Source organism: Homo sapiens, chromosome 3, assembly GCF_000001405.40.
Source record: "Homo sapiens chromosome 3, GRCh38.p14 Primary Assembly".
NCBI lineage: Eukaryota > Metazoa > Chordata > Mammalia > Primates > Hominidae > Homo > Homo sapiens.
Genome location: NC_000003.12, coordinates 9,809,727 through 9,837,487, shown reverse-complemented (window position 1 = coordinate 9,837,487; position 27,761 = coordinate 9,809,727). Strand labels below are relative to the sequence as shown.

General features: G+C 51.2%; 2 protein-coding genes across 31 annotated transcripts in view, besides 8 other annotated features; both read right to left on the bottom strand.

Annotated features, from left to right (window-relative positions):
• Positions 1,123–27,761, bottom strand: TTLL3 (tubulin tyrosine ligase like 3). 30 transcript variants are annotated; one of them, NM_001387446.1, is made up of 14 exons: positions 27,094–27,226; positions 26,779–26,867; positions 24,377–24,545; positions 24,143–24,240; positions 21,286–21,414; positions 19,729–19,843; positions 18,568–18,666; positions 16,747–16,942; positions 11,540–11,688; positions 10,248–10,491; positions 8,093–8,528; positions 4,243–4,384; positions 2,581–2,807; positions 1,123–2,394 (listed from the first exon to the last, which is right to left on the bottom strand). In NM_001387446.1, exons 2-14 carry the CDS (start codon positions 26,824–26,826, stop codon positions 1,999–2,001), a joined length of 2,448 nt encoding a protein of 815 aa, NP_001374375.1. In that variant the 5' UTR covers positions 26,827–26,867; positions 27,094–27,226; the 3' UTR covers positions 1,123–1,998. The 30 variants fall into 30 exon arrangements, 24 of the variants coding, with proteins under 24 accessions (NP_001374375.1, NP_001374377.1, NP_001374396.1 ...); NM_001387448.1 differs by lacking the exons at positions 21,286–21,414; positions 27,094–27,226 and adding exons at positions 2,985–3,061; positions 27,566–27,761 and having other exon boundaries at positions 1,123–2,807; positions 4,117–4,384; NM_001387467.1 differs by lacking the exons at positions 21,286–21,414; positions 27,094–27,226 and adding exons at positions 2,985–3,061; positions 27,724–27,761 and having other exon boundaries at positions 1,123–2,807; positions 18,568–18,933.
• The window catches only part of ARPC4-TTLL3 (ARPC4-TTLL3 readthrough), a 43,809-nt gene continuing 17,179 nt past the window's right edge, over positions 1,132–27,761 (bottom strand). Inside the window, exons 5-12 of the mRNA NM_001198793.1 lie at positions 24,377–24,545; positions 24,143–24,240; positions 19,729–19,843; positions 16,747–16,942; positions 11,540–11,688; positions 10,248–10,491; positions 8,093–8,528; positions 1,132–2,807 (exon numbers count right to left, since the gene is read on the bottom strand). Of these exons, the coding sequence (NP_001185722.1) occupies positions 2,667–2,807; positions 8,093–8,528; positions 10,248–10,491; positions 11,540–11,688; positions 16,747–16,942; positions 19,729–19,843; positions 24,143–24,240; positions 24,377–24,545 (1,548 nt within the window). The 3' untranslated portion in view covers positions 1,132–2,666. The remainder of the gene's footprint in view (positions 2,808–8,092; positions 8,529–10,247; positions 10,492–11,539; positions 11,689–16,746; positions 16,943–19,728; positions 19,844–24,142; positions 24,241–24,376; positions 24,546–27,761) is intronic.
• Positions 1,910–2,409: an enhancer, noted in NCBI's record as "H3K4me1 hESC enhancer chr3:9876763-9877262 (GRCh37/hg19 assembly coordinates)". NCBI's record gives its function as "activates a minimal SCP1, AML or CMV promoter by ChIP-STARR-seq in primed H9 embryonic stem cells {active_cell/tissue: H9 hESC(primed)}" and the evidence as "EXISTENCE:reporter gene assay evidence [ECO:0000049][PMID:30033119]".
• Positions 9,803–10,303: an enhancer, noted in NCBI's record as "H3K4me1 hESC enhancer chr3:9868869-9869369 (GRCh37/hg19 assembly coordinates)". NCBI's record gives its function as "activates a minimal SCP1, AML or CMV promoter by ChIP-STARR-seq in naive H9 embryonic stem cells {active_cell/tissue: H9 hESC(naive)}" and the evidence as "EXISTENCE:reporter gene assay evidence [ECO:0000049][PMID:30033119]".
• Positions 10,020–10,089: a silencer, noted in NCBI's record as "silent region_14046". NCBI's record gives its function as "represses an Ori minimal core promoter by ATAC-STARR-seq in GM12878 lymphoblastoid cells {active_cell/tissue: GM12878}" and the evidence as "EXISTENCE:reporter gene assay evidence [ECO:0000049][PMID:35858748]".
• Positions 10,100–10,169: a silencer, noted in NCBI's record as "silent region_14045". NCBI's record gives its function as "represses an Ori minimal core promoter by ATAC-STARR-seq in GM12878 lymphoblastoid cells {active_cell/tissue: GM12878}" and the evidence as "EXISTENCE:reporter gene assay evidence [ECO:0000049][PMID:35858748]".
• Positions 11,137–11,637: an enhancer, noted in NCBI's record as "H3K4me1 hESC enhancer chr3:9867535-9868035 (GRCh37/hg19 assembly coordinates)". NCBI's record gives its function as "activates a minimal SCP1, AML or CMV promoter by ChIP-STARR-seq in naive H9 embryonic stem cells {active_cell/tissue: H9 hESC(naive)}" and the evidence as "EXISTENCE:reporter gene assay evidence [ECO:0000049][PMID:30033119]".
• Positions 11,638–12,138: an enhancer, noted in NCBI's record as "H3K4me1 hESC enhancer chr3:9867034-9867534 (GRCh37/hg19 assembly coordinates)". NCBI's record gives its function as "activates a minimal SCP1, AML or CMV promoter by ChIP-STARR-seq in naive H9 embryonic stem cells {active_cell/tissue: H9 hESC(naive)}" and the evidence as "EXISTENCE:reporter gene assay evidence [ECO:0000049][PMID:30033119]".
• Positions 12,730–12,950: a silencer, noted in NCBI's record as "fragment chr3:9866222-9866442 (GRCh37/hg19 assembly coordinates)". NCBI's record gives its function as "represses an EF-1alpha promoter that drives an FKBP-Casp9 reporter gene in an ReSE screen in K562 erythroleukemia cells {active_cell/tissue: K562}" and the evidence as "EXISTENCE:reporter gene assay evidence [ECO:0000049][PMID:32094911]".
• Positions 27,045–27,524: a silencer, noted in NCBI's record as "silent region_14044". NCBI's record gives its function as "represses an Ori minimal core promoter by ATAC-STARR-seq in GM12878 lymphoblastoid cells {active_cell/tissue: GM12878}" and the evidence as "EXISTENCE:reporter gene assay evidence [ECO:0000049][PMID:35858748]".

Genomic DNA, 27,761 nt, shown 5'->3' with positions numbered 1-27,761 from the left:
CCTGTAATCCCAGCACTTTGGGAGGCTGAGGTGGGTGGATCACTTGAGCCCAGGATTTCAAGACCAGCCTGGGCAACATGGCAAAACCCTGTCTCTACAAAATATGCAAAAAAAAATTAGCCAGGTGTGGTGGCATGTGCCTGTAGTCCCAGCTACTTGGGAGGCTGAGGTGGGAGGATGATCTGAGCTCAGGAAGCAGATATTGTAGTGAGCCGAGATCTTGCCACTGCACTCCAGCCTGGGTGAGAGTGAAACCTTGTCTCAAAAAAAAAAAAAAAAAACAATTGAGATGGGGTCTTGCTATGTTGACTAGGCTGGTCTCCTGGCCTCAAGCAATCCACCTGTTTTGGCACCCACCCCCCGCCAATGTGCTGGGATTACAGGCATGAGCCACTGCACCCAGCCTTCTTACTCTATTATATTTTTTAAAGCAGGGTCTCAGTATGTTGCCCAGGCAGGCTACCCTCCAACTCCTGGCCTCAAGCAACCCTCCCGCTTCAGCCTCCTTATCTTTTTTTTGAGACAGAGTCTCACTCTGTTTCCCAGGCTGGAGTGCAGTGGTGTGAGCTCTACTCACTGCAACCTCTGCCTCCTAGGTTCAAGCGATTCTCCTGCTGGGATTACAGGCACGTGCCGCCACACCTGGCTAATGTTTTTGTTGTTGTTTTGTTTTTGAATCTCTGTTTTTAAAGCAGGGTCTCAGTATGTTGCCCAAGCAGGCTACCCTCCAACTCCTGGACTCAAGCAACCCTCCTGCCTCAGCCTTATCTTTCCTTTTTTTTTTTTTTTTTGAGACAGAGTCTCAGTCTGTCGCCCAGGCTGGAGTGAAGTGGCGCGATCTCAGCTCACTGCAACCCCACCTCTGGAGTTCAAGCAATTCTCCTGCCTCAGCCTCCCGAGTAGCTGGGATTACAGGCACATGTCACCATGCCCGGCTAATTTTTGTATTTTTAGTAGAGACGGGGTTTCGCCATGTTGGCCAGGCTGGTCTCGAACTCCTGACCTTAGGTGATTCACCTACTTCAGCCTTCCCAAAATTCTAGGATTACAGGAGTGAGCCACCGGCCCTTAATCCTTTCTTATGAAGACACTTGCCATTGAATGTAAGCACCACACTGGTCATTGGGATTATCTCATTTAAGATCTTAAATTTATTTACATCTGCAAAGACCTTTTTTTTTTTTTTTGATTTAGGGTTTCACTCTGTCTCCCAGGCTCAGAGCGCAGTGGCGTGATCACAGCTCACCACAGTTTTGATCTTCCCAGGCTCAGGTAATCCTCCCACCTAGGCCTCCCGAGTAGCTAGGACTACAGGTGTGTGCCACCACACCCAGCTAATTTTCTGTAGAAACGGTTTCACCATGTTGCCCAGACTGGTCTTGAACTTGCGGGCTCAAGCGATCTCCTGCCTTGGCCTCTCAAAGTGCTGGGATAACAGGTGTGAGCCACCATACCCAGCTACAAAGACTCTTTTCCCACATAAGGTCACATTCACAGGGTCCAAGTAGACATCTCTTTTCAGGGGACCACAGTTCAACCCACTACAACTAAGCAGTGCCACACTTTTCTTCAGGTGGGTGTGGCTTATTGGATGTTTCATTTTTAGGTGACCTTGGCCCCTTGCTGAAGAAGGGATAGACCCATGCCCTCTGCAGAAGGGCTGAGGTTTAGGCAAGGCCAATTCCTTCCCCTGTCTCATGGCATTAACGTTCCTATGCCCGGTAGGTGTCATTCTGCTAGCTTGGCTTGTTCTCTGGGGTTGGGGGGCTCCCAGTGCTCGGCAGTTCTGGCAATATGTCCCTGCGTCGACTCACTGCCACGTGATCTTGGGTAAGCCATGCCTCCTCTTTCAGACTCAGTTTCTTCATCTGTAAAGTGAAGGCTCACGCTCCCCACCCCTGGATCGGAGATGCTGGGGGAGTCCCTAAATAGGAAGCCCCATGTCTGTCCTTAGGTGGGAATTCTGGGCCTCGCTGCACGGAGGAGCTGCTGATGGCCTCAGGCTCTTGCTGTGGACCCTGGGGTACACGGCCTCGCCCCATCCACTCTTGACCCTCCAACAGCAATGGAGTCAAGCCCCAAATACTTCACTTGTTTCTTTTTATTTGGTGTTGGATCCAGGACAAGGGCAGTGGGGAATCGAAGCAGGGGCTTCCCTAGCTTCATATCCCCCAGGCCCCTGCGCCTCTGGAATGTACCAACAAGGGGCAGGGGTTTCAGGGGGCTCAGCCTCTTCATGGGGCAGGCCTCAGCCCTGGGTTTGTCACAGTCTGGCCTTGAATTTGCCTTTGGCCTTGACCTTCCGACAGGTGCTAGGAATTGTTCCGACTTCAAAGGGCAGAGGCAACAAGGCACTTCCAGCTGGGGGCCTCGGAGGCACAGGAGAGCAGGAGCCTCGGTGTGAAAGGAGGGGAGAAGAGGGAGATGATCAGAAGTCTGTGGAGGAAGGGGCTTCTGAGGGAGACCAGCTCTTCCCTTGGGGTGCCAGCCAGCCTGGGAGCTGCCCTCTGCCTGTGCCCTCCAGCCCTGACCCCGTGCTCAGCACTGTCCACTGGGTGTGAGTCACAGGTCGAGGCCCACCTTTCTTGGCTTCAGGATGCTGGGTGCCACCTTGAAATCAAGGTTCGGTGGGAGGGAAATGAAGACCTTAGCCGTGGGTAGAGTCCTCAAGGCCTTGCCTGTGGTCGACAGGGCCTTAGTGCCCACCAGCTTGCTGTGCTGTCGTCTGAGGACCTGGCCCTGGTGTCGGAGTACATGGGGAGAAGGCAGCTGGGCCTTGGTGTGGAGGCTGGGGAAGTGGTGACGGGCTGTGGGAGCAAGAGAAGCTGTGAGGCCCTGGGGTGGGGCCCAAGGTGGCCTAGCTGCCCTAACAGGTACGTGTGGAGGATGGGGGGATATGGAGGGAATGGGGTGAAGGCCGACGGAGCCCTCCCGGTTCCTCCTCCAGAGGCAGTGAGAAGAAAACAGGGTAGAGTCCAACAGACCTGGGTCTGCATCCCAGCTGTGCCCCTTCTGAGCTGTGCAACCTTGGGCAACTTCCTTAAACTTCCTGATACCTCGGCTGGAAAATGGGGATAATAGCACCTACCTTGCTAGGTTGGTGTAAACACTAAAGGAGCTGGGCAGGTAGCGGTATGGGGCAAACTGTTAAGTGCTGGACATGTGTTAGTTCTTTCCCCGAGAGGTGACTGCTTGAAGGCAAAGGCAGAATACTGCAGTGGGAAAAGCGTGGGCGCTGGAGAGAGCAACCTGGGCTTAAGTCCTGGCATCTTTGAAATCAGGTCATCTTTGAAATAAGTCACTCTGTGAGGCAGAGTGACTACTTTGGAGGAGACAATACTCATTTGGCTGGGTTTTTTTTTTTTTTTTTTTTTTGAGACAGAGTTTTGCTCTTGTTGCCCAGGCTGGAGTGCAATGGTGCAATCTCGGCTCACTGCAACCTCCGCTTCCTGGGTTCAAGCGATTCTCGTGCCTCAGTCTCCCAAGTAGCTGGGATTATAGGCACCTGCCCCTACACTCGGCTAATTTTTGTATTTTTTAGTACAGATGGGGTTTCACCATGTTGGCCAGGCTGGTCTCGAACTCCTGACCTCAAGTGATCTGCCCGCCTCGGCCTCCCAAAGTGCTTTTTTTGTGTCTTTGTTTTTAAGACAGCATCTCGCTCTGTCTCCCAGGCTGGAGTGCAGAGGTGCGATCATAACTCACTGCAGCCTTAACCTCCCGGGCTCAAGCGATCCTCATTAGCCTCGCGAGTAGCCTGGACCACAGGCTCACACCACCGTGCCCAGCTAATTTGGCTGTGTATTTTTAAACAATACTTTGTGAGTAGTGGCTTTTACTTGCTACTGGTGGCTCTTTGGTGGGGTGGCTGATCCAGGTGGTTGGGAGGGGCCTGGAGAGCAGGAATAAATCGCCTTGGAACACTCGGGTGTTTTGGGGGAATGGTCTTACCCAGGGCCCGGGGGTTCTTCGGACTCAGTGGCAATCTGTTCAAGTGGTGGGGTTGCCTGTCCCCACTAGAAAAGGTCATGGTGAAAATGCAGCCCATCCTGGTGCTGGGGGCATCCCACTCCCAGAGATTGGGGCAGACCAGGGCTGTGGCCCTTTTCGCCTTGCCTTTCTTCCCCTTTCCGGGGGCTGAAGTGGTGGCAGTGGAGACTGGCTTCTCACTGTGCCCCAGGCTCCTGGCCCCAGTGCCTTTCCTAGAAGCTGACCTGTGGGTAGGGGTCCCCGAGTCCTTGCCTTCCCCAGAGCCTCGCTGGGTCAGCAGAGGGACTGCTGGGCGGACCCCCATCCGCCGATGACACATCGCCATGGGCTTCTTGATGGTGAAGCCCTCTACCAGGAGCCGGATGCCCACATATTGAGGCACCTCCACAGCAGGCTGTGGGCAAGAAGAGGAGACAAGGCCCACTCAGTCAGTGGTACTGGAATCCTTGGCCCAGCGGGACCCAGAGTAGAGATGGGTGGAATTACTTTCTGAGGCACCTGGTCAAAGAGGCGTTTCTGAGCTGAGAAATGGAAAGCCCACCTCTGAGTCAGTACCTAGAGTCACAGAGCTCCAGGAATTGCTAGCCCAGAGGAAGGGGGAATCCTAGCCATGTCCCACCAGCACCCCTCAGCCACATTTCCCTCCTAAGCTGCCCCCAGCCCCTGCTGGAATGCGTGTGGCTCCACTGCACAGGCCACTGCTGGTGGACAGCTTCCTGAGCTGAGCCAATCAGATTCTCTGCACAGAGAATTTGAGTTACGCCACCCAGACAAGTAAGAGGTTTGGAGCCTGCCTAGAGCCTCGTGTGAATCCAGGTTATGGGGTAGCAGAAACTAAGAACCTTAAAGAAGACAGTCTGTGGAGAGAATGAAGTAACGAATATGCAGAGGAAGGCAGAGAGAAGGGTCCAGGAGAGGGACTCCCTTACAACTCTCAGTTCCTATCAGGCCAAGCTGTATGTCCTGCCCTCAGCTGGGCTCCAGGAGAGCTCCCTGTGCCTTGCTAGCAACCTGGAGCCAGTTGGAGGTATCTTCTGTGCCACTGAAGGATCCTGATCAGAATCTATCTAAACATCAGAATTACTTGGAGCTTGTTAAAAATACAGCTATTGGCCGGGCATGGTGGTCACACCTGTAATCCCAGAGCTTTGGGAGGCTAAGGTTGGCAGATCACTTGAGGTCAAGAGTTCGAGATCAGCCTGGCCAACATAACCAAACCCTGTCTCTACTAAAAATACAAAAAAATTAGCAGGTCATGGTGGCAGGCACCTGTAATCCCAGCTACTCGGGAGGTCGAGGCAGGAGAATTGCTTGAACCCAGGAGACAGAAGTTGCAGTGAGCCGAGATCGCACCATTGTACTCCAGCCTGGGTGAAAAGAGCGAAACTCCGTCTCAAAAAAAAAAAAAAAAAAAAAATGCAGCTATTGCCGGGCGCGGTGGCTCTCTGGGAGGCCAAGACAGGCGGATCAGCTGAGGTCAGGAATTGGAGACCAGCCTGGCCAACATGGCGAAACCCCATCTCTACTAAAAACACAAAAATTAGCCGGCCATGGTGGGCGCCTGTAATCCCAGCTACTCGGGATCTGAGGAGAATCACTTGAATCCGGGAGGCGGAGGTTGCAGTGAGCCGAGCTAGCACCACTGCACTCCAGCCTGGGTGGCAGAGTGAGACTCTGTCTAAAAAAAAAAAAAAAAAAAAATCAAATAAAAATGTAGCTATCAGCACTCCCAAGTAGCCCCAGATGATGAGGGAAAGTTCATCTTTACAGAAGAATCTCAGCTAATAAATGCAGAAGGAACAACAGAATTAGACATTTGCCATTTTGCAACTCTAATAAAATAGGCAATAATCAAAACTGGTATCAAAACAATTAGATGAAAGGATGACAGGAAAATGTGTAATCTGGACAGAGCCAACACAGCACCTTACAGAAAAATTAATTGCAAAGGGGAGATGTAGCTTATAATGGAGAGAATCTGGTAGCCACCACTGTAACCCACAGTCAAACTCAGCAGCACTAACTGTGAGACACTCTCACAGGATGTGCCTTGTGATGCCACATGAGGTACGCGGCATCACCTCTGAAGTGCTCTTGGGAAAAATGTTTAACCTCATCAAACTATTTGACCTAACTTCTAGTTCCTGAGACAATCAGCTAACAGAAGACCAAGGTAAATCACACCATAAGGAAACAATCAGATAAATCCAGAATGTGGGACAGTTCTACAAAACAACCCGCCTGGCCCCTCAAAAGATCAAAACTATGGGGTCAAAAGGCACTGGGGCTGGCCTAGATGAAAAGAGACAAAAAAAAACAGTGCAAGGTATAAGCCTTTACTATGTGCTGGCCTAAAAACAAAAACAAGAACAAATCAGCAATAAAAGACATTTAGAGGGCTTGGCGCGGTGGCTCATGCCAGTAATCCTAGCATTTTGGGAGGCCGAGGCGGGCAAATCACGAGGTCAGGAGATCGAGACCATCCTGGCTAACATGGTGAAACCCCATCTCTACTAAAATACAAAAAATTAGCCGGGCATGGTGGCAGGCACCTGTAGTCCCAGCTACTCAGGGGGCGGAGGCAGGAAAAGCGCTTGAACCCGGGAGGCGCAGCTTGCAGTGAGCCGAGATGGTGCCACTGCACTCCAGCCTAGGCAACAGAGCAAGACCCCGTCTCAAAAAAAAAAGATATTTGGGGGGCATTTGAAAAATGCAGATATACATAGTCTCCTCCCCAAGCTAGACATTTTGGGTCAATCTCTGGGGGTGGAGCCTCCTCACATCCATACCTTTAGAAGCTTTCAGATGCTTCTGGCCTGGGCACTGGCATTGGGAGCACTGCACTACAATGGCACCTTTTCCCTCAGCTTGCTCATATTTTCCTGCCCATGTATTTCCCCGTTTACATTTTTTGAAACCAAAACGCCAATATATTAATTTAAGAAATGATCAATAACAACTGTAACAAAGGCGAGGTCACTTAGGTCATGTGATCAGTACGTTCTCTTCCTGTAACCAAACCTTGACAGAAACCGGAGGCTAATCAGAAGCCACTTAAACTGCCACAAGAAATTCTATCCAGAACTCAGAAAGCCTTGCAATCAATTTTCTGACTGATTTTTTAAAATGCTGTTCTATTTTACAAGTAGACTCCAATCTCTTTTTGGAGCAAGACGAGTGAAATAATTATAATACTACTAATAATAGTAGCTACCAGTAATTGCCTATTACTATACATTCAGGCACTTTACAGGTTATACATGATGAAACTCCTAACCTTATTAGGTAATAATAACATTAGCTAAAACTTAGTAGCATTTACTACGTGCCAGGCACTATTCTAAAGTACTTTACTGGCTGGGCACGGTGGCTTCTGCCTGTAATCCCAGCACTTTGGGAGGCCGAGGTGGGCGGATCACCTGAGGTCAGGAGCTCGAGACCAGCCTGGCCAACATGGCAAAACCCTGTATCTACTAAAAATACAAAAATTAGCCAGGCGTGGTGGTAGGCACCTGTAATCCCAACTACTTGGGAGGCTGAGGCAGGAGAATCGCTTGAACCCAGGAGGTAGAGGTTGCAGTGAGCCAAGATCATGCCACTGCACTCCAGCCTGGGCAACAGAGCGAGACTCTGTCTCAAAAATAAATAAATGAAGTACTTTACTTATCAACTCATTTAATTCTCACAACTCATAGTACCTAACTTTGTGAGTTAGGTACTATTTTTATTCTTACGGACAAGGAGACCTAGGGGTTAGGAACTTGTCCAAAGTCACATAGCTTGTTGTCACTGAACAGGAATTTGAACCCAAGGAGATTCCAGAATCTCTGCTCTTATGGCTATGCTATATGCCTCTCTAGAAATATTATCCTCATACATGAATTCATTTTATTCTCCCATTCCCATGAGAAAGATGGTAATAATATCCCCATTTCAAAGATCAGGAAACTGAGGCTCAAGGAAGTGAGGTCACCTTAGCAGGACCAGGACTTGAATCTGGGTCTTAAACTGGGTCTGACTGCAGAGTCCTATGCTCCACTGCAGGGCTGCCTGGAAGAGGGTGCAGACTCTCTGGGGTCCTGCCTGGGCCCAACCTCCTCACCTGCTTATAGATGAGCTCAAAGGCTCCTGTGTCACAGTTGCGGTCCAGCATCCGGTCAATGACCACGCGCAGGGTGTCAGCTTGCACGCCAGCACAGAGCCGGGCAGTGACTGCTGTGGAGGGTGCCATCGTGGGGCTGGCGTTGATCTCAATCAGCCAGGGCTGGAAGTCCTCCCCGAACACGAAGTCAGCGCCATAGAGCTCAAAGCTGGCCTTCCGACACTGCACGGTGTCCTGGGAGGTCTGAAGTGCGTGGATCACAGCATCCTTCATGCCAGGCACGATGATGGTGGACCAAGCATTTGGGGCACCCATCTCCTGCAGGTGGGCCTGGAACCTCTGGCTAGACCACATGTTGTCTGGCGGAAGCAGTGGATGCCGATGGCATGAGTTCTCCAGGTGCTTCTGGATGGAGTTGTTGCACAGGTGCACTGAGCTGGGGCAGAGAACAGAAAACTGAGGTCCAGGCCCTTGTGTCTCTCCCATCCAAACTCAGGGAGGACAGGCAAGTCCTGGAAGCAGCCCTGGGCCACCCTGCACTATTCAACTTGAGATGGGGCCCTACTGGGAAGGACAAAAAGGACAGAGGCCTGGGCCCCACCACATTCTTCTAGGGCCAGAACCACTCTTATCTCTCAGGGCTGCTCTGAGGGCGCTAGTTACGGGGGCCGCAGTAGTAAGTGCTTTGTGCATAGTCTCAGTTAACCATCCCAGTGTCTGGAAGATAAGAGGGTGGGTAAGGGTATGGCCCCGTCATCGCCAGGACGTGTTCAAGCGCCATCTCCACACTAGTTGTGAGACCTTAGGGAAGTCATCTAACCTGTGTGCTCTTCACATCTGCAAAATGGGGGTAGTAACAGTACCCACTTCACTGTTTTTTATATTTTTCTTCAGACCTGGTGAACAAGAAGTATGCACTGGGTTCTTATTAAGAATGAGATCATGTATACAAAGTGCTCAGCACTATCACATATGAAGCACTCAATAATTGATAGCTATGAATTTCATACTACTGCCTCCATTCTTCAGATGTGGAAACCAAGGCTTAAATAGGTTTTCACATGACCAGATTCAAACAACTTGGAAGCTGCAGAGACAGAATTGGAATTCAGGCTTTAACAAGGCTTTCTCTCACCCTAGAAGTTAACACGACATCTTAGTTTTCAAAACTCCTGACCTCCTTTCCCCTGCTCTACATTTGCTTCCCTTTTTCCCCCAACGACAAATATAATCTTTTTTTTTTTTTTTTTTTTTGAGACAGATCCTTGATCTGTCACCCAGGCTGGAGTGCAATGGCACGATCTCAGTTCACTGCAACCTCCACCTCCCAGGTTCAAGCAATTCTCCTGTCACGGCCTCCCGAGTAGCTGGGACTACTGGCGCCCGCCAACACGCCCGGCTAATTTTTATATTTTTAGTAGAGACGGGGTTTCGCTATATTGGTCAGGCTGGTCTCGAACTCCTGACCTCAGGTGATCCACCCACCTCGGCCTCCCAAAGTGCTTGGATTACAGGCATGAGCCACTGCGCCTGGCCCAAATAATCTTTTAACCTGTTAGATAATTTCACTTGTGTTCTTGCTTGCCTGTTTCTCCCTGCTAGAATGTAAGCCCTTGAGAGCTGGGATCTTGTTTTGTTCACTGCTATACCCCAAGTGCCCAGAACAGTGCATGGCACAAGGTACACACTCGGTCAAATCTGTTGGAGGGGCCAGGCATAGTGTAATCCCAGCACTTTGGGAAGCCAAGGTGGGATGATCGCTTGAGCCCAGGAGTTTGAGACCAACCTGGGCAACATAGTGAGACCCCATGTCTACATTAAAAAACTTAAAAATCAGCTGTGGTACATGCCTGTGGTCTCAGACACTTGGGAGGCTGAGGAGGAAGGATTGCTTGAGCACAGGAAGTCAAGGCTACAGTGAGCCGTGACCATGCCACTGCACTCCAGCCTAGGTAACAGAGTGAGACCGCCCCCTGTCTGTTAAAAAAAAATCTGTTGGATGCAAGGACAGCTGGCAGGATGAGGGCCTGCCTGCCTGCAGTCTGTGTGTGGAGCCTAGCGCTGCTGCGCGAGTCCCCTGCACTGTAATCGCCTGTTTGCTTGCCAGCTCCCCAACTAGGCAGGGAGCTCGTGGGAGGCGAGCAGAGGGGCTCACTTGTCCAGGTTCTTCAGGGAGAAGGGCTGCGTGGAAAAGCGGATATAGCTGTCGCGGTAGAACCACACGGTAAGTGGGTTCCAGTCAGTTACCAGGAACCACTGTCTGAGGTCAAACTTGGTGCCAAAGATGAGGAGGGGCCGCTCAATATACTTCTGCACCACCCACTTGCCGTCCTTCATCACCACGGGGTTGCCGTTCACCAGCTTCAGCATCTCCTCCAGGTGGTCCATGCACATGATGCCTACGGGGGAAGAGGGCAGTCAGGGATTGGAAGGTCAGGCGTGGGCCAGGAGAAGGGCCAGCTTGTCATGAGCTCTTGTCCCCTCGGAGCTGATAGGGCTGAGTGGGTAAGGCTGTCTCCCTCAATCAGAACCCAGTTCCCTTTGGGAAAGCCAGGAATTTGCTAAGGATTTTAAATTTTTCCTAATTAACCAGTTTTGTTTGATTAAACAGGAATACATACATGGATACAAATTTAAAGTGCTGGACTTTTTTTTTTTTTTTTTTTTTTTGAGACAGCCCTGTCACCTAGGCTGGAGTGCAGTGGCACGAGCTCAGCTCACTGCAACCTCCGCCTCCCGGGTTCAAGTGATTCTCCTGCCTCAGCCTCCCGAGTAGCTGGGATTATGGGTGCCTGCCACCACACGTGGCCAATTTTTGTATTTTTAGTAGAGACAGGGTTTCACCATGTTGGCCAGGCTGGTCTCCAACTCCTGACCTCAAGTGATCCACCCGCCTCGGCCTCCCAGACTGCTGGGATTACAAGCATGAGCCACTGTACCTGGCCAGTGTTGGGGGCTTTTTTAAAGTATGTGCACCTATTACGTTCCTACCAATAATAAATAGACTATAAAACAAAACAAAAATTAGGCAGTACGAAAGGGCATACAATAAAAAATGTATCTCCTTGTCTAGAGGCAGCCAACTGCTGCTTCCAGGACCTTATGGATATCCTTCTGGATCATGTGAAAGCCTACACGTGCCTCCGTTTCCCAGGATTGCATAAATTGAAGCACGTTGAGGATTTGGAATAGTGCTTTAGCTGCATGACTGCATTTAATCCTCACCTCACAGGAGGTATTATCATCCTCCTCATGTCACAGATGAGGGAACTGAGGTTCAGGGAGGCGCTAAAACCTGCTCAAGGTCACGAAGCACATTAGTAGCAGAGCTAGGACTCAAACCCAGGCAATTTGGCTTCAATAGACCTGCACTATTAACTTCCTTGGCCTCTACTGGTAGATGCAGGTGGTGAGGTGCCAGTGCAGGAAGCAGGAGCTGACCCCCACCTCGTCCGCGGGACTTGGCTCCTGGCTTCACGATCCAGATGTTGCGATCCCCTTCCATGTCTATCTGGGGTACCACGGCCTGCAGCTGCTGCAGGATGTCCTCACAGCGCTGGACCTGAGTGTCGAGGTGCCTGAGTTCTGCCCCTTCGCTGTGGGGAAATGATAGAACTTGGGCAGGGCTGGACCTGGGACATGCAGGTGGAGAGGGCAGGGGGAGATATATTCCACCATCCCCCGCCGTCATCCAGGCAGCCTTGGTCACGCCCTCCCTGCAGATATCCATAGGTCCCTCCCAAGCCTCCGGCCCCACCTTCAAGCCACCCCGGAAATCCTAACCTGCCCAGACTACACAAATGGGAAAGGCTGATAAAATTCCATTAACTGCAAACCACCCCCTACTCCAACACTCCACCTGTGCCACCCCCTTCCTATTACATTAAAACTGTCTTTGACAGAATTTAATCATTCCAGTTCCTAATGATAAAGCACCACTATGTGCCAGGCATTGTGACAAGGGCTTTCCATATATTTTCACGAATGCCCTCAAGGCCCTGCCAGGGAAGTATTACTAGTACCCACCCCCTACCCCCCGACTTTTTTTTTTTTTTTTTGAGACAGGGTCTTGGTCTGTCACCCAGGCTGAAGTGCAGTGGTGAAATCACGGCTCAGTGCAGCCAGGAACTCCTAGGTCCAAGTTTCAGCCTCCCAAGTAGTTGGAATTACAGGCATACGCCACCACACCCAAGCTAATTTTTATTTTTTGCAGAGATGGGTCTTATTATGTTACCCAGGCTAGTCTTGAACTCCTGGCCTCAGGCCATCCTCCTGTTCAGCCTCCCAAAATGCTGGGATTGCAGGCATGAGCTACCACACCCAGCTCTGGTCCCATTTTAGAGAAATGTAAACTGGGCCAGGCACGGTGGCTCCTGCCTGTAATCCCAGCACTTTGGGAGGCGGAGGCAGGCGGATCACCTGAGGTCAGGAGTTCGAGAACAGCCTGGCCAACATGGCAAAACCTTGTTTCTACTAAAAATACAAAAATTAGCCAGGCATGGTGGCAGGTGCCTGTAATCCCAGCTACTTGGGAGACTGAGGCAGGACAATCACTTGAACCAGGGAGGCGGAGGTTGCAGTGAGCCGAGATCGTACCACTGCACTCCAGCCTGGGCGACAGAGCAAGATTCCGTCTCAAAAAAAAAAAAAAAAAAAAAGAAAAGAAAAGAAAAGAAAAAGTAAACTGGGACGGGCATAGTGGCTCACGCTTGTAATCCCAGCACTTTGGGAGGGCAAGGTGGGCGGATCACAAGGTTAAGAGATTGAGACCATCCTGGCCAATATGGTGAAACCCCATCTCTCCTAAAAATACAAAAATTAGCCGGGTGTGGTGGTGGGCACCTGTAATCCCAGCTACTCAGGAGGTTGAGGCAGGAGAATCACTTCAAGCCAGGAGGCGGAGGTTGTAGTGAGCCGAGATCGCGCCATTGCACTCCAGTGTGGGCAACGGAGCGAGGCTCCATCTCAAAAAACAAAAAGAGTAAACTGAAGCTTTGAGAGTTAAGGGACTTACCGAAGGCCATACACTGAAAGTTGAGTGGTTCAGCCAGGATTCAAACTCTGTCCTGTCTGATTCCTCCACCCACAGGTGCTTTTTGGGGTTCATTCCTGTCTTAATCTGTGCCTAATATTGGCTGAAACAATGTTAGCCTAATTCCTTTCAAGCACTTCTATATCACACCTCTTCTTGCTTGTTTTCTTCCCATCATCTACCCCCACCTAACACATGTGCTTATTTGGTTATTGTCTGAATCCCCTAACTACAATGTAAACTCCGTAAGAGCAGGAACATTTTCTGTAGTTGTTCTCTGCTATAATCCCCATCCCCAAGCACCACACCTGGCACTCAGCAGGTACTCCCTGGAAGTTTGCTCAATGAATGAACGGTTGGCTCAGCAAGTACTTTGGTAGGAGCTTGCCTCAGCAACTGGGCTGCACGGACAGGGTTTCATGGACAAAGAGGGACCCTGTTCTCTACAAGACAGAAAATGTCCTGAACTAAACCAAGTCACAAAATACCCCAGATGGCTGCCTCATCCAGACTCTCGCATTTCTTTCCTTCTGACTGAATAGGACGGGAGCCTCCTGTTCAGGGGAAGCTAACTCTGTGACATCTTAGCATCTTGAGTGTCTCCAGTCATGGAGAACTTTCTCTTTTTTAAGGAGGAGGCAGCAGCCACTGGGGCAGTGCCAGGAACAGGGACAGCCAGATGCAGGGGGCTAGGCAAGGTCTCCCAGGAGTACTCACACCTATGTCCTGACAAACTTTTCTGTGGTCCGTAGCATGAAGTATCTTTTCAGTAATCTGTGATGTGGCCCAGGAAAATATCACACAGGAGCGTAATTTGAAAAAGTATATTCGACATGACAATATGATTTTATAGTTAGCAAAAAGAAAAAAAAAACAGTATTTTAATGAAAAGTCAGCCTGATGAAAACCTGGCTGGCTTAGTTCTTAAAATCCAGGATTTAAAAAAAAAAAAAAAAAAAAACTGGCTGTTTGTTTTTTCTTTGAGACAGTCTCGCTCTGTTGCCCAGGCTGGAGTGCAGTGGCGCGATCTCGGCTCACTGCAAGCTCCGCCTTCTGGGTTCACGCCATTCTCCTGCCTCAGCCTCCCGAGTAGCTAGGACTACAGGCACCCACCACCACACCCAGCTAATTTTTTTGTATTTTTAGTAGAGATGGGGTTTCACCATGTTAGCCAGGATGGTCTCGATCTCCTGATCTCATGATCTGCCCGCCTTGGCCTCCCAAAGTGCTGGGATTACAGGCGTGAGCCACCGTGCCCGGCCCTGCTAATTTTTGTATTTTTAGAAGAGATGGGGTTTCACCATATTGGCCAGGCTGGTCTTGAACTCCTGACTTCATGATCCGCCAGCCTTGGCCTCCCAAAGTGCTGGGATTATAGGCATAAGCCACCGCCCCAAGTGGAATTGTTTTTTTTAAAAAGTTGAGAAGCATTAACACTAAATATTGAATGAATTAGGCCGAGTGCAGTGGCTCACTCTGTTAATCCCAGCACTTCGGGAGGCCAAGGCGGGCGGATTGTTTGAGCTCAGGAGTTCAAGACCAGCCTGGCCAACATGGTGAAACCACGTCTCTAAAAAATATATATATATATGTATATATTATGTATTATATATATTATAATATATATAATACATAATATATACATACAACGATATATGTATATCACACAAAAATTTGCCAGGCCTGGTGGCACACACTTGTAGTCCTAGCTACTCAGGAGGCTGAGGTGGGAAAATCACTTGAGCCTGGGAGGCAGAGGTTGCAGTGAGCCAAGACTGCGCCACTGCACTCCAGCTTGGGTAACAAAGTGAGACCCTGTCTCAAAAAAATAAAATAAAATATTGAGGGAATGAATGAATGCTGGTCATTTGTACTGAACCATTCAACACTGTGTATGTCTGTTATATGATGCAATGTTTTATGTAATCCCGACTTTAGAGAGGTTCTTATAGCCCTCCAGAACTTGCCCCCACACACCAGAAATAAAAAGGACTCATGGCCGGGCGCGGTGGCTCATGCCTGTAATCCCAGCACTTTGGGAGGCTGAGGAGGGCGGATCACGAGGTCAGGAGTTCGATACCAGTCTGGCCTGCATAGTGAAACCCCATCTCTACTAAAAATACACAAAAAATTAGCCGGGCGTGGTGGTGGGCGCCTGTAATCCCAGCTACTCGGGAGGCTGAGGCAGGAGAATCGCATGAACCCAGGAGGTGGAGGTTGCAGTGAGCCGAGATCACGTCACTGCACTCCAGCCTGGGCAACAGAACAAGATTCTGTCTCAAAAAAAAAAAAAAAAAAAAAGGGACTCGTGCTTCATGACTAATGTTCTAAGTCTTGAAAATTCTTTTTTTTTTTTTTTTTGAGACGGAGTCTCATTCTGTCACCCAGGCTGGAGTACAGTGGCGCGATCTCGGCTCACTGCAAGCTCCGACTCCCAGGTTCAAGCGATTCTCCTGTCTCAGCCTCCTGAGCAGCTGGGATTATAGGCGTGCGCCACCATGCCCAGCTAATTTTCATATTTTTAGTAGAGATGGGGTTTCGCCATATTGGCCAGGCTGGTCTTGAACTCCTGACCTCAAGTGATCTGCCCGCCTCAGCCTCCCAAAGTGCTGGGATTACAGGCGTGAGCCACCACGCTTGGCCACCTTGATAATTCTTAATTTAAAATGGGCAGCTTTACATTTTCCAGTAGCTAAAGAGAAAGTACCGGGCCACCTGAGTTATGTCCTGGCATTTAGAAAAGATGCAGTGAATTACGTGCTAATGATGTGGATCTGCTGCTCATGTCATTCATTAGTTCTTCGGTTTCCCCTACTGAGTAATTAAATCTATCCATTTCTTCCCATTACCACCACCCCAGCTGAGATTCCTAGCACTCCCACCTGGCTTCCTGCAGGTCTCAAACCTTGAGCTGTGTCCCAGTTGAGAACAGGGGCTACGCTTCATTTCAGAACCTGGCACAATGCTTGGCACATCGGAGTTGCTCAAGAAATGCTTACTGTGTGTTCTGCCTTCAGGGCTGTTCTCCCTCCAGTTGCTCCTGCATGCTTCTCCCGAATGGAATCTCCCTAAAGCAGCACCAGGCTCACCTTGATCCTCCCTTTCCCCACCTAAGAACCTTCTTCCAAAGTGTGTTCAGAAAACACTGCCCCTCAGGATGCTTGGTGGGAGGCAGGGCACTGGGCTCACTTAAGTACAGGATAAGCAGCGCACTCTCTCTATAGGCTTACACCACCCACAGGTTCTGAAGAGTACTGCCCCAGGGAAGCCTCTTTAACTGCTTAATCCAGTGTTTTCCAAATGTGATGGACCACAAAAGCCCTTTTTTCATAAAATCTATTTACTTCCTGTAGAATTAACATCCACACAACACACACTTTGGGTAATGTGCTGTCCATTTGGTGGCACAGTCCATGCTCTTAGTGACTATGCTATGCCAAGAACCAAGAAAAGTGGCCCAGACCCTATCACGGAGGCAGTGGGAGTCCTCGAGGGTTCCTGAGCAGAACAGCGGGGTAAACGAGCGGGAGGCTTGGGGAAGGGGTAGGGGCTGCACGAGACAGAAAGGGTCTATCCCTAAGCACCTGCCCACAGCCCAAAGTCCCAGCTGCAGGGGACTCACTGGACCACTTGGTAGTAGCGCTGGAGGAAGAGGGACCAGCCCTCGGGGGTGAGGTACAGCGGGGCCTCCAGGTCCTTGTCGATGTCCATGTGGGCCAAGTTGCTAAGGTACTCCTCGCACGCACACAGAGCTTCATCCACAAACTCTGGGGACACCAACACTGGGTTTTTCTCCTGTTTCTTGGGCTGCTTGTCTCCTGCACATAGGGAGGGGCCTGTCACGATCCCATATCAAGGCAGGTAACCTGACGCATGCCACAGCCCCCATTGTCCTAAGGCCTGTCACTTACCTGAGGCCCAGCACGAACCTAGATAGATCCCCTACTGCCCTGGGATGTGTCACTTAGCTGAGGCTTTGCTCTAAATTCACTGCAACTCTAGCACTTGCCCTTGGCTCCCACTGTCCCAGGACCTGTCACTCGAGGCTCTGCCCTAAATGTCCCCAAGGCCTCTGACAGCACCTATAGCCTCTCTGCCCCTGGGACCTCTAACACACCTGAGGCTCTGCCTAAAATGCACCTGGGAGTCTTGGCCTATGTGAACCCAGTTATACATGAACGCCCCTCCCCCAAGTCTGACACAGCTTCTTAAGTCCACACACCAGAAATCCAGACCCACTCCCAGAATCCTGATACAGAGCTACAACCCTTAGCCCACAGAAACACTAACTTCTGTGTGCACTGTTACTGCACAAGGCCCTGACACACCTGAAAGTGATTACAGAAACTGACCCTTCAGAAGACCCCGTGCACATCTACAGACCTGACTCACCCCTGAACATCGCAGTGCTCTGAAGATTCTGATATACAACTGAGGCCCTCAAACCCCTGCAGCCTGACCTATACCATAAAAGCTTAAGCATGGGGTCTCTGGCCACACCCGAGGCCCTTGTGCCCCTTATCCTGGCACACAACCAAGCCTTCCTTGTGCATGACACACACAAGAGACAGCAATGGGGGAGTCTCTCTGGAAGAGGCAGGGATTTTCCTCCTTCCTGGAGAGCTGCCTCTGCTTCCCTGAATCCCTCGCTGATGGGTCCCTGGATTACAGGACTAGGAGCCTGGAGACACGAGCTAAATCCAGAAGGGAAAGGGCAGGCAGTGGTTGGGTTGGCATGCATGATAGTGAGGGTTCCTCTGTGTCCCCTCCACTCCAAGCTGTTCCTTATGTTCAGGCCTAAGCTGTTCTCAGGCCATGTGTAAAGCCCAGTTTCACTGCTTCCTCCTCCTCAGAGACCTGAACTCCTCACAGGCAGGGACGGACCATGTCTTCTTAGTCTGCCCTCTCCAGGGTGCTCGGCTACATGCCAGGCCCATGGGAGGGCTGAATGAGGAGTGGATCAACTAACAAACGGATGGGAAGACAAGTGTCTAAGTACCTGGGACAGAAGAATGGATGAGTGGATGGCCTGAAGAACAGATAGGTAGTAGATGGGAGAATGGAATAGCAGGTAGATAGATGGGTAGGTGGATCTGTGGAAGGATAGGTAGGCAGGGAGTGGATAGATGGATGGGGAGTATGGAGCTGACATCAGGTAGATGAATGACGAGATTAACAATGGGTGACAGGTGGGAGGATGGAAGGATGAGTGGAAGGGTGGGTGGGTGAATCGGTAGATCAGAGAGTGGGTGAATACGTGGGTGGATGAGTGGATGGATGGCTGGTGGATGGATGGATAGATGGGTAGATGTGAATCATACACAGATGTGTGGATGAACCAGTAGGTGCGTGGATGAATAGATAGGTAGAAGGGCAGATAGGTGGAAGGGCGGATGGGTGGAGGATAAATGGGTGGGAGAGTGGAGGTAACCACAGTACTTACCTGAGGCCTCTTCCTCTACTGCCTGAATAGGGTATGACTTCCACTCAGACTTCACCACCAGCTTGAGAACGTTGCGGGCAGCAGTCAGCCAGAAGTCCTCTGCTCCCAGGCCAGGGGATACCCTGCTCAGCCCCTAGGCTTGAGGCCTGTTCTGGTTCCAGAACCTGATCATGACTTGCCCCATTTTGGATCCAGAACCTGACTCTACCTTTTCTGACTCTAGAGCCTGAGTTTAGAACTTGCTCCTGTTTCAGGCTGGTCACGGTGGCTGACGCCTGTAATCCCAGCACTTTGGGAGGCTGAGGTGGATGGATCATGAGGTCAGGAGATCGAGACCATCCTGGCTAACACAGTGAAACCCCGTCTCTACTAAAAATACAAAAAATTAGCCAGGCGTGATGGCGGGCGCCTGTAGTCCCAGCTACTCGGGAGGCTGAGGCAGGAGAATGGCGGGAACCTGGGAGGCGGAGCTTGCAGTGAGCCAAGATCGCGCCACTGCACCCCAGCCTGGGTGACAGAGCGAGACTCCGTCTCAAAAAAAAAAAAGAACTTGCTCCTGTTTCAGTTGTGTAACCAGACCCCAAATCTGACCTGACTTGGATCATATTCTGCCTTCAGAATCTGGCTTGGACCCATTGTCTGATTTGTTTCTTCTGTTCATCACCTACTTTTGATACTTATTCTGTCCTGAGAACCAGACTGTGTCCTAGTTCAGATTCTGAATGTAATTTAAATCTAGCATAGAATCTGGATCCAAATTCTAACCTGAATTTAGAACATATTGTGGAATCGGAACCTAGTCTGCCTTAGAAATCCAAAGCCTGCAGCCTTTTTTGGAACCCAATTCAACAAATGGAACTTGATATAAGCCTGGAATCTGTTCTGGATTCCAAACTCAAGGGACTGACCAACTTTTAGAACCTGCTCTAGAATATAAGCCAAGCTACCCAAGCTTTTCTGGAGGTCAGAGTTGACCAAGCTAAGAGGCTTATTAAGGGAGGGCACATTAGGGAAGGATAAGGATTGAGGGTGGAAAGGGAAATCTGCTGGGGCAGGCAGATGAGGGCATGAAGAGAGGCCTGTTTCTCTCCAATATGAGCCAGAGCTTCAGCCCTGCTCTGTCAGCCTGAGGTTCAGGCATAGGGCTGGGGGTCTCCTTACCTATGAAGGCTTTTTTGTCATCCTCAGCCCCCAGGCAGTAGCAGCGTGGGAAGAAGGAGTTGGCATCAACCTCATCAAACCACGGCAAATTCCGGAGATTGAGACATAGACCCACCTACGGAGTTAGCCACTGAGAGGGCAGGGCAGGACTGCCCACACTCACCACACACCCAGACAGTTCAGAAAGACTCTGACTGGATCTGCGCTCAGAGCCTTGGCCCCGCTTGCAAGGTCTGAGTTGCTCACATCTATCACCATATATTTGCCTGGGAGGTGTCCTTTGCCAAGAATGCCTGATGTCCCTCCTGTCCCCCCTTTCACATTCTTTTTTTTTTTGAGATGGAGTCTCACTCTGTCACCCAGGCTGGAGTGCAGTGGCGCGATCTCGGCTCACTGTAAGCTCTGCCTCCCGGGTTCACACCATTCTCCTGCCTCGGCCTCCAGAGTAGCTGGGACTACAGGCGCCCGACACCACATCCAGCTAATTTGTTGTATTTTTAATAGAGACGGCATTTCACCGTGTTAGCCAGGATGGTCTCGATCTCCTGACCTGGTGATCTGCCTGCCTCGGCCTCCCAAAGTGCTGGGATTACAGGCGTGAGCCACTGTGCCCGGCCCACCCTTTCTCATTCTTAAAGAGCTGCCAAGGCCGAGCGCGGTGGCTCACACCTATAATCCCAGCACTCTGGGAGGCTGAAGTGGGAGGACTGCTTGAGGCCAGAGGCCAGGAGTTCAAGACCAGCCTAGGCAGCATAGCAAGACCTCATCTCTTAAAAATAAAAAAAGAGCTGCTTCCTCTAGAATCCTTCCTAACCCACACCAATAATATAATGGCAGGTCATTATTATAAAGCCCTTCATCCTTGCCACAACCCCAGAAGATGGGCCTTACTGGTATTCTCATTGAAAGATGAGGAAATTGAGGCTCAGAGAGGTGAAGTCACTTGCTAAGAACACCAGGTAAGGCTGCGCATGATGGCTCGTGCCCGAAATCCCAGCACTTTGGGAAGCTGAAGCAGGTGGATCACCTGAGGTCACCAACATGGTGAAACCCCATCTCTACTAAAAAATACAAAAATCAGCCAGGTGTGGTGACACGCACCTGTAGTCCCAGCTACTCAGGAGGCTGAGGCAGGAGAATTGCTTGAACTGGGAGGCAGAGGTTGCAGTGGGCTGAGATTGCACCACTGCACTCCAGCCTGGGAGACAGAGCAAGACTCTGTCTCAAAAAAAAAAAGAAACCCAGGTAAGACAGAATGGGTCCATTAGCCAGATATCTTCTGCTTAGGAGGTAAGAGTCCGTTTGCTCACTATCATTGGATTTGGTGATTGTTCTACCTCCAGACCCATTTTAGACATCATATCTACAAATGCCGGATACGGTGCAGGGGCTGGATTTGAACTTGCCAGATACTGGTCAGACTCCAAATTTTCTGAATTGTATACTTCCCCTTGTCCTGAGAACTTCCTCTTACTAACAAGGTGAGCAGGGAGGAGAGCTGCCAGCCCAAGGGCAGGGGGTCGGAAGCTGCCCTGCCTGCTCCTCTAGGGAGCCCACCTTTGTGGTAAAGGAGCCAGCCCGGGCGTAGTGGTTTATCATCTGATCCTTGGAGAGGAAGCGACAGTCGAGCACATCCCGCCGAGTGGTCCAGATGAAGTAGGGGATCTCATTCTGGACCATGCGGGACTGGGGAGACAGGAGGAGACAGAAACACAGAGGCCAGTGTGGGTAGCAGGGCCTAAGGCAGCCTCTCCCTGCCCTGCTGAGCAGGGTGGGTGAACAGGAAGGAGAGGATGCTTCCAAGGTGGCCTCTAGCCCACACATCATCTTTGTGTAAGTCAAGAAGATTTCTCTTCCTCCAGGGCACAGGTGGGCAGAGAGCAAGCCAGCCTTTCAGCCTCCTTTTGGCCTTAGGGAGGCCAAAGACTCTCTTCTGCCTCCCTTTGTCACTGCTTAAGGTGTCCTATGAGGCTTGTCAGCCCCCAGGCGGTGGCAGCGTGAGAAGGAGTTGGCATTAGCCTCATCAAACCATGGCAAATTCCAAAGACTGAGACATAGACCCACCTATGGAGATAGCTGCTGAGGGGGCAGGGCCCCTAAGGGTGTCCCCAAGGAGTGACAAAGCTGCACAACTGAATGTCACACTTTGTTCTGGCCCATGGTCATCAGTGACTTGCCCAGGGGCAGGACAGTGACTCCAAGCTGATGGGCACACAGCCTGTGACACAGGCTCTCTCATGGACCCCACCTCTCTCCCTCCTTCCTACAACTCTGGGAGGTGGGGTAATTATTAATAACCAGCGTCAGCCCATGCTGGGCCCTGCTCTAAGCACTTTCCACGTCAATTCATTCACCATAATTCTATGTGGTAGGGGCTAAGGTTATCTCTGTTTTACAGATGAGGAAACTGAGGCACAGGAAGGCAAGTGACTTGCCCAAGGGCTCATGAGATTGACCCATATGAAGCTGCCAATATTCAGCCATTCCTGACATACAGAAATGGCTTTTTTTTTTTTTTGAGATGGAGTCTGACTCTTGTCGCCCAGGCTGGAGTGCAGTGGCGTGATCTTGGCTCACTGCAAGCTCCGTCTCCTGGGTTCAAGTTGATTCTTCTGCCTCAGCCTCCCTAGTAGCTGGGATTACAGGTGTGCGCCACCAGGCCCAGCTAATTTTTTTGTATTTTTAGTAGAGGCGGGGTTTCACCATGTTCCCCAGGCTGGTCTCGAACTCCTGACCTCAAATAATCCACCCGCCTTGGCCTCCCAAAGTGCTGCGATTACAGGCATGACCCACCATGCCCGGCCAGAAATGGCAATTTTATATATTTGAACTCAGTAAGTGGCACTACCAAGATGGAAACCCAAGGGCCCTCACCTCAACGTGCATGTCCTCCACATCATCACACCGACTCTTTCAACCTTTTTTCTTTATTTTCAGATGGAGTTATCGCTTGTTCTGTCACCCAGGCTGAAGTGCAGTGGCGCAATTTCAGCTCACTACAACCTCCACCTCCCACGTTCAAGCAATTCTCACACCTCAGCCTCCCGAGTAGCTGGGATTACAGGCGCCCGCCACCATGCCTGGCTAATTTTTGTATTTTTATTTTATTTTTGAGACAGAGTCTCACTCTGTCGCCCAGGCTGGAGTGCAGTGGCGCGATCTCAGCTCACTGCAACCTTTGCTACCCAGATTCAAGCAATTCTCCTGCCTCAGCCTCCCAAGTAGCTGTGATTACAGGCATACACCACTACACCCAGCTAATTTTTCTATTTTTTTAGTAGAGACAGGGTTTCACCATGTTGGCCCGGTTGGTCTTGAACTCCTGACCTCAGGTGATCCATCAGCCTCGGCCTCCCAAAGTGCTGGGATTACAGGTGTGAGCCACTGCTCCTGGCCTTTATTTTATTTTATTTATTTATTTTTTCAGACGGAGTCTCGCTCTGTCACCCAGGCTGGGGTGCAGTGGCGTGATCTCAGTTCACTGCAACTTCCACCTCCTGGGTTCAAGTGATTCTCCTGCCTCAGCTTCCCGAGTAGCTGGGATTACAGGCGCCTGCCACCACAGTCAGCTACTTTTTGTTGTTGTTGTTATTTGTTTGTTTTTTTATTTGTTTGTTTTTTTAGTAGAGATGGGTTTTCACCACGTTGGCCAGGCTGGTCTCGAACTCCTGACCTCAAGGAATCTGCCCGCCTCGGCCTCCCAAAAAGTGCTGGGATTACAGGTATAAGCCACCCCGCTCCGTCTCTTCCAGAGCTTTTTAAGACCTTCCTTCCTGCCTTCACTTACCAAGGGCAGCGGGGAAGGGGAACTATGGGGTTTTTATTTGAAGGGGGAGTTACCATGCATGGCGGCTGTGCTGGCATCTGGTATGACCTAGCAGAGCTCTGAATCCCAGGCCAGATGGGACACAGCCCTGCTGTGTCCCTCCCCACTCTGTGGGCCTATCTAGCCTTTATTCACTTATTTCTTTTTTAGAGATAGAGTCTTGCTTTGCTGCCCAGGTTGGAGTGCAATGGTGCGATCATAGCTCACTGCAGCCTGTAATTCCCAGGTTCAAGTGATCCTCCCACCTTAGCCTCCCGAGTAGCTGGGACTACAGGTACATGCCACCACACCCGGATAATGTTTTTCTACCTTTTTTTGTAGAGACTGAGTCTTACTATGTTGCCCAGGCTGGTCTTGAACTCCTAGCCTCAAGTTATCCTCCCACCTTGGCCTCCTGAGTAGCTGGGACCACAGGCATGAGCCACCATGTCCAGCTCTATCCAGCCTTTAAAGAAGCAGTTTTTACTACAGATAGGGAAACTGTGGCCCAGAGAAAGAAAGGACTTGTCTGAGGTCACCCAGCTGGACACCAATGCCCTCCCTCTAAGCAGGCAGTCCCTGTATCATCTTGGCCCCCAGGGCCCTCACCATCAGAGCATGTGTTCCATCTAGGTCATCAAATTTCAGTAAATCATCGAAGTCGAACAGCTGTGATGGCTGGAACTCCTCGTCCTCATCTTCATCCTCTGTGGATGCAGAGCCCAGAGCTGATGAGTTTCCTCTCCCTGACCCATAGCCCATAAGGCCTCAACTCTGGGACAGTGGGAACCAAAGGAAAAGGACTCAGGAGCAACAGCTGTGGAAAGGGAAGGAACCACTCACCATCCTCAGTGGTGTCACTGTCACCCATCGCTGAGCTATCCAGATCCTTCTGGGGTGGCAGCAGGGTGGGGCCTGAGCGATGGACCATCTTCTTCTCCACCCAGCCCCTCCGGCGCAAGAGACACCGGATCACCGGGTAGCAGCCTTGGATTGTAAAGATCTTCTTCTGCTGCAATGTGAGAGAAGGATACTTCTTCAATAAGTATTGCATAAGTGCCAGACATAGGGGATATAAAGGTGAACCAGACAGTTATGGACTCTGCCATCAGGAAATTTTTATATTCCATTAGGAGAAATAAACAGACTATAAATAAGTAGAGAAATAAATATGCATGGTAATAATGATAATAGCAATGGCTAATATTTATTGAGGACCTACTACATGCTGAGCACTTACATGCATTACTAACAATACTGTGTGTTTTTATTTTGTTTTGTTTGAGACAGGGTCTCACTCTGTTGCCCAGGCTGAAGTGTAGTGGCACAATCTCGGCTCACTGCACCCTCTTCCTCCTGGGTTCAAGCGATTCTCTTGCCTCAGTCTCCTTGAGTACCTGGGATTACAGGTGTATGCCACCACGCCCAGATAATTTTTTTTTTTTGAGACGGAGTCTTGCTCTGTTGCCCAGGCTGGAGTGGCACAATCTTGGCTCACTGCAACCTCCACCTCCCGGGTTCGAGCGATTCTCCTGCCTCAGCCTCCCCAGTAGCTGGGAGTACAGGCGTGTGCCACTGCGCCCGGCTAATTTTTGTATTTTTAGTAGAGACAGGGTTTCACCATATTGGCCACGCTGGTCTTGAACTCCTGGCCTCAGGCCAAGGCCCGCCTTGGCCTCCCAAAGTGCTGAAATTACAGGCGTCAGCCACCTCATCTGGTGCCCAAATAATTTTTATATTTTTTGGTAGAGACTGGGCTTCACTGTGTTGGCCAGGCTGGTCTCCAACTCCTGGCCTCAAGTGATCCTCCTGACTTGGCCTCCCAAAATGCTGGGATTACAGGTGTAAGCCACCGCGTCTGGCCAATACTATGCATTTTTATTAGATACTGTTATCTCCATTTTACGGGCTATGAAACAGAGGCATAGAGAAATTAAGCAGGGTGCCTGAGGCCCCATAGTGGTTAAGCAAAAGAGCAGGGATTTACATCCTGGCAGTTTGGCTCCAGAAACTGCATACTTAATGGGATCCAGAGAAACTACTTAGAAATACATGGTCAGGGAAGGTTGAAAGGAAGCCATGAATGTACAGAGCTGGGAAATGGCGGTTCAGGCAGAGGGGAATGCATGTGCAAAGGCCTTGAGGCTGGAGAGAGGTCAGAAGGAACTGAAGGGAGACCAGAGTGAGTGGAACATGGAAAATGATGGGGAAAGCCCCAGAGGAGGTAGGCAGTGGCCAGACTGTGGAAGGCCCTGCAGGCCTTGGAACGGACTTGGATTTCATACTAAGAGTGTCATGAGCAAAAAAGGCTAACTGAGGGAATCTTTCTAAGCTTGGCTTGCTGCTGTATTACAAAAAGATGAGGGGACAGGATGGAGGTAGACCAGCTAGGAGGCTGTCATAGTTTGCCTAGGAGAGAAATCACAATTACTAAAATGAAGGTGGTTACAACACAGACGGGAGAAGGTGCTAGAGTTGAGAATCGTTTTGGAGGTGGAGATGACAAGTGGTTTTGCTGATGGAATTAGACCTGTGGGTGAAGAAACAGAAAGATGAGATTTCTGGCGTGAGGAACTGAGAGATGGGAAAGACTGGAGACTGGGGAGGACGACAGGTTTGGGCAGGAAGATCAAAGTCTGGTTTGGGACATGAATTTGAAATGCTTGTTAAGTTTTCTGGGTGTAGATGACAGGTAGGGGCTAGATCTACGGGATGTGGAGTTCGAGGCTGGGCTGGAAGGGGCACGGAGAGGGTGCAGCACACTGACTGGACTCAGCCAAGGACACAGCCAAAGGAGACAGACCTGGGGAAGGGGCCAGGGGGCCACTAATGGCTGAGGAACCTTTAAAGGCCGCTGAAAAGCAGCAGCCAAAGAGGGAGAAAGGAAAACTAGGAGCGTGCAGTCAGACAGCCAAGAGGAAGGGTGTGTGGGGCAGCGGTGTCGAAAGATACAGGGTGCCCAACCGAGATCAAGACCGAAAGGCACTGCTGGGTTTGGCTCCCTGGAACTCACCAGGCACCTTGATTAGAGTGGGACATCGCAGGGAACCAGAGTGGAGGGAGCCCAGAAGTTTGGTGCTGAAGGGGTAAACGGGGAGGTAGTTGAAGATGGGTGTGGTGGTTGAGGATTTTTGCTATTGTTTTTTCTTTTGCTTTTGTTTTTTAAGGATATAAGAAAACAGCGCAGGGAGACAGGCTGAGCCGCTCCCAGGGCCCTTTCTAAGCGCCCCTGCCCCTCCTCTGACCTTGACAGCTCTCTCCACGTAGATTTTGGCGTTTCTGAGCCGGTTCATGTGAGACGCCTTGGAGGATCCTCGCCAGAGGACCGGGAAACCTGCAGAAAGATGCGGAATAGGGGCGGGGTACACTGAGGCTGGGCCTAGGGTCTCGGCCTAGGATCTTTTCTGGCCGCCCATAGCCACGCCTCTTTTCTTCCTCCTGCCTTCATCCAGATGCCCACCCTCAGCCGCTCTTCTCCCGACCCCCAGTCCCTCCACCCCAGCGTCTTGTCGTCCTCGCAGCCGCTGTAGGCCAGAGCGAGCGGGCCGCACGGGCCTCACCATCCTGCGGAGAGGGGTCGAGGACCGGGGTGTGCGGGGGGCCGAGGGGGTGGGTATCCGAGGCGCCCTGGGCGTGGGTGCCTGGGACCAGCGTCTTGAAGGCGCCGCTGAGGCGGCGCGCAGGGGCGGGGCTGCCCGCCTGGCATCTGCCGCCTGCGTGACCCTCCTCGGACTGGGCGGAGGCAGGGCCGGCCCATGGCAGCCTCCTGGGTGGACGGAACTCGGAGCGGCGCGCCGAGGGGAAACTGGTGCGTGGCTCGAGCGGCTGCGGCTTCCGCAGCCAGTTGCACACCGCGCCGCCCTCCTGGCGGTACCAGGAGGCCGAGCCCCGGCGCCCGGGCCCCAGCTCCCTCGCGCTCAGGAGCAGTGGCGCGTCGGGGCCCTGCATGCGCCCCTCGCCGCGCTCGCCCTCCCAGGGCCCCTGATCCCGCGCCCCTCCGCGTCGCCGCCTCCTCTCCCGGGAAGTTCCTGCCTAGGCTCGAGCCTTGTCCTCCGTTCCAAGCCCCGCCCCGTTTGCTATTGCCTTGGAAACCATTCCCTGGGCACCATCAGACCGCTCGGGGCTGGTTGGGGGCTGCGATGGGCCCCGGGGCAGTCGAGCGAGGGCTTCCTTATGACCTGGGGCCTCACCCAGACCCTTGATGAGCAGGGCACTGAAGGCGGAAGAG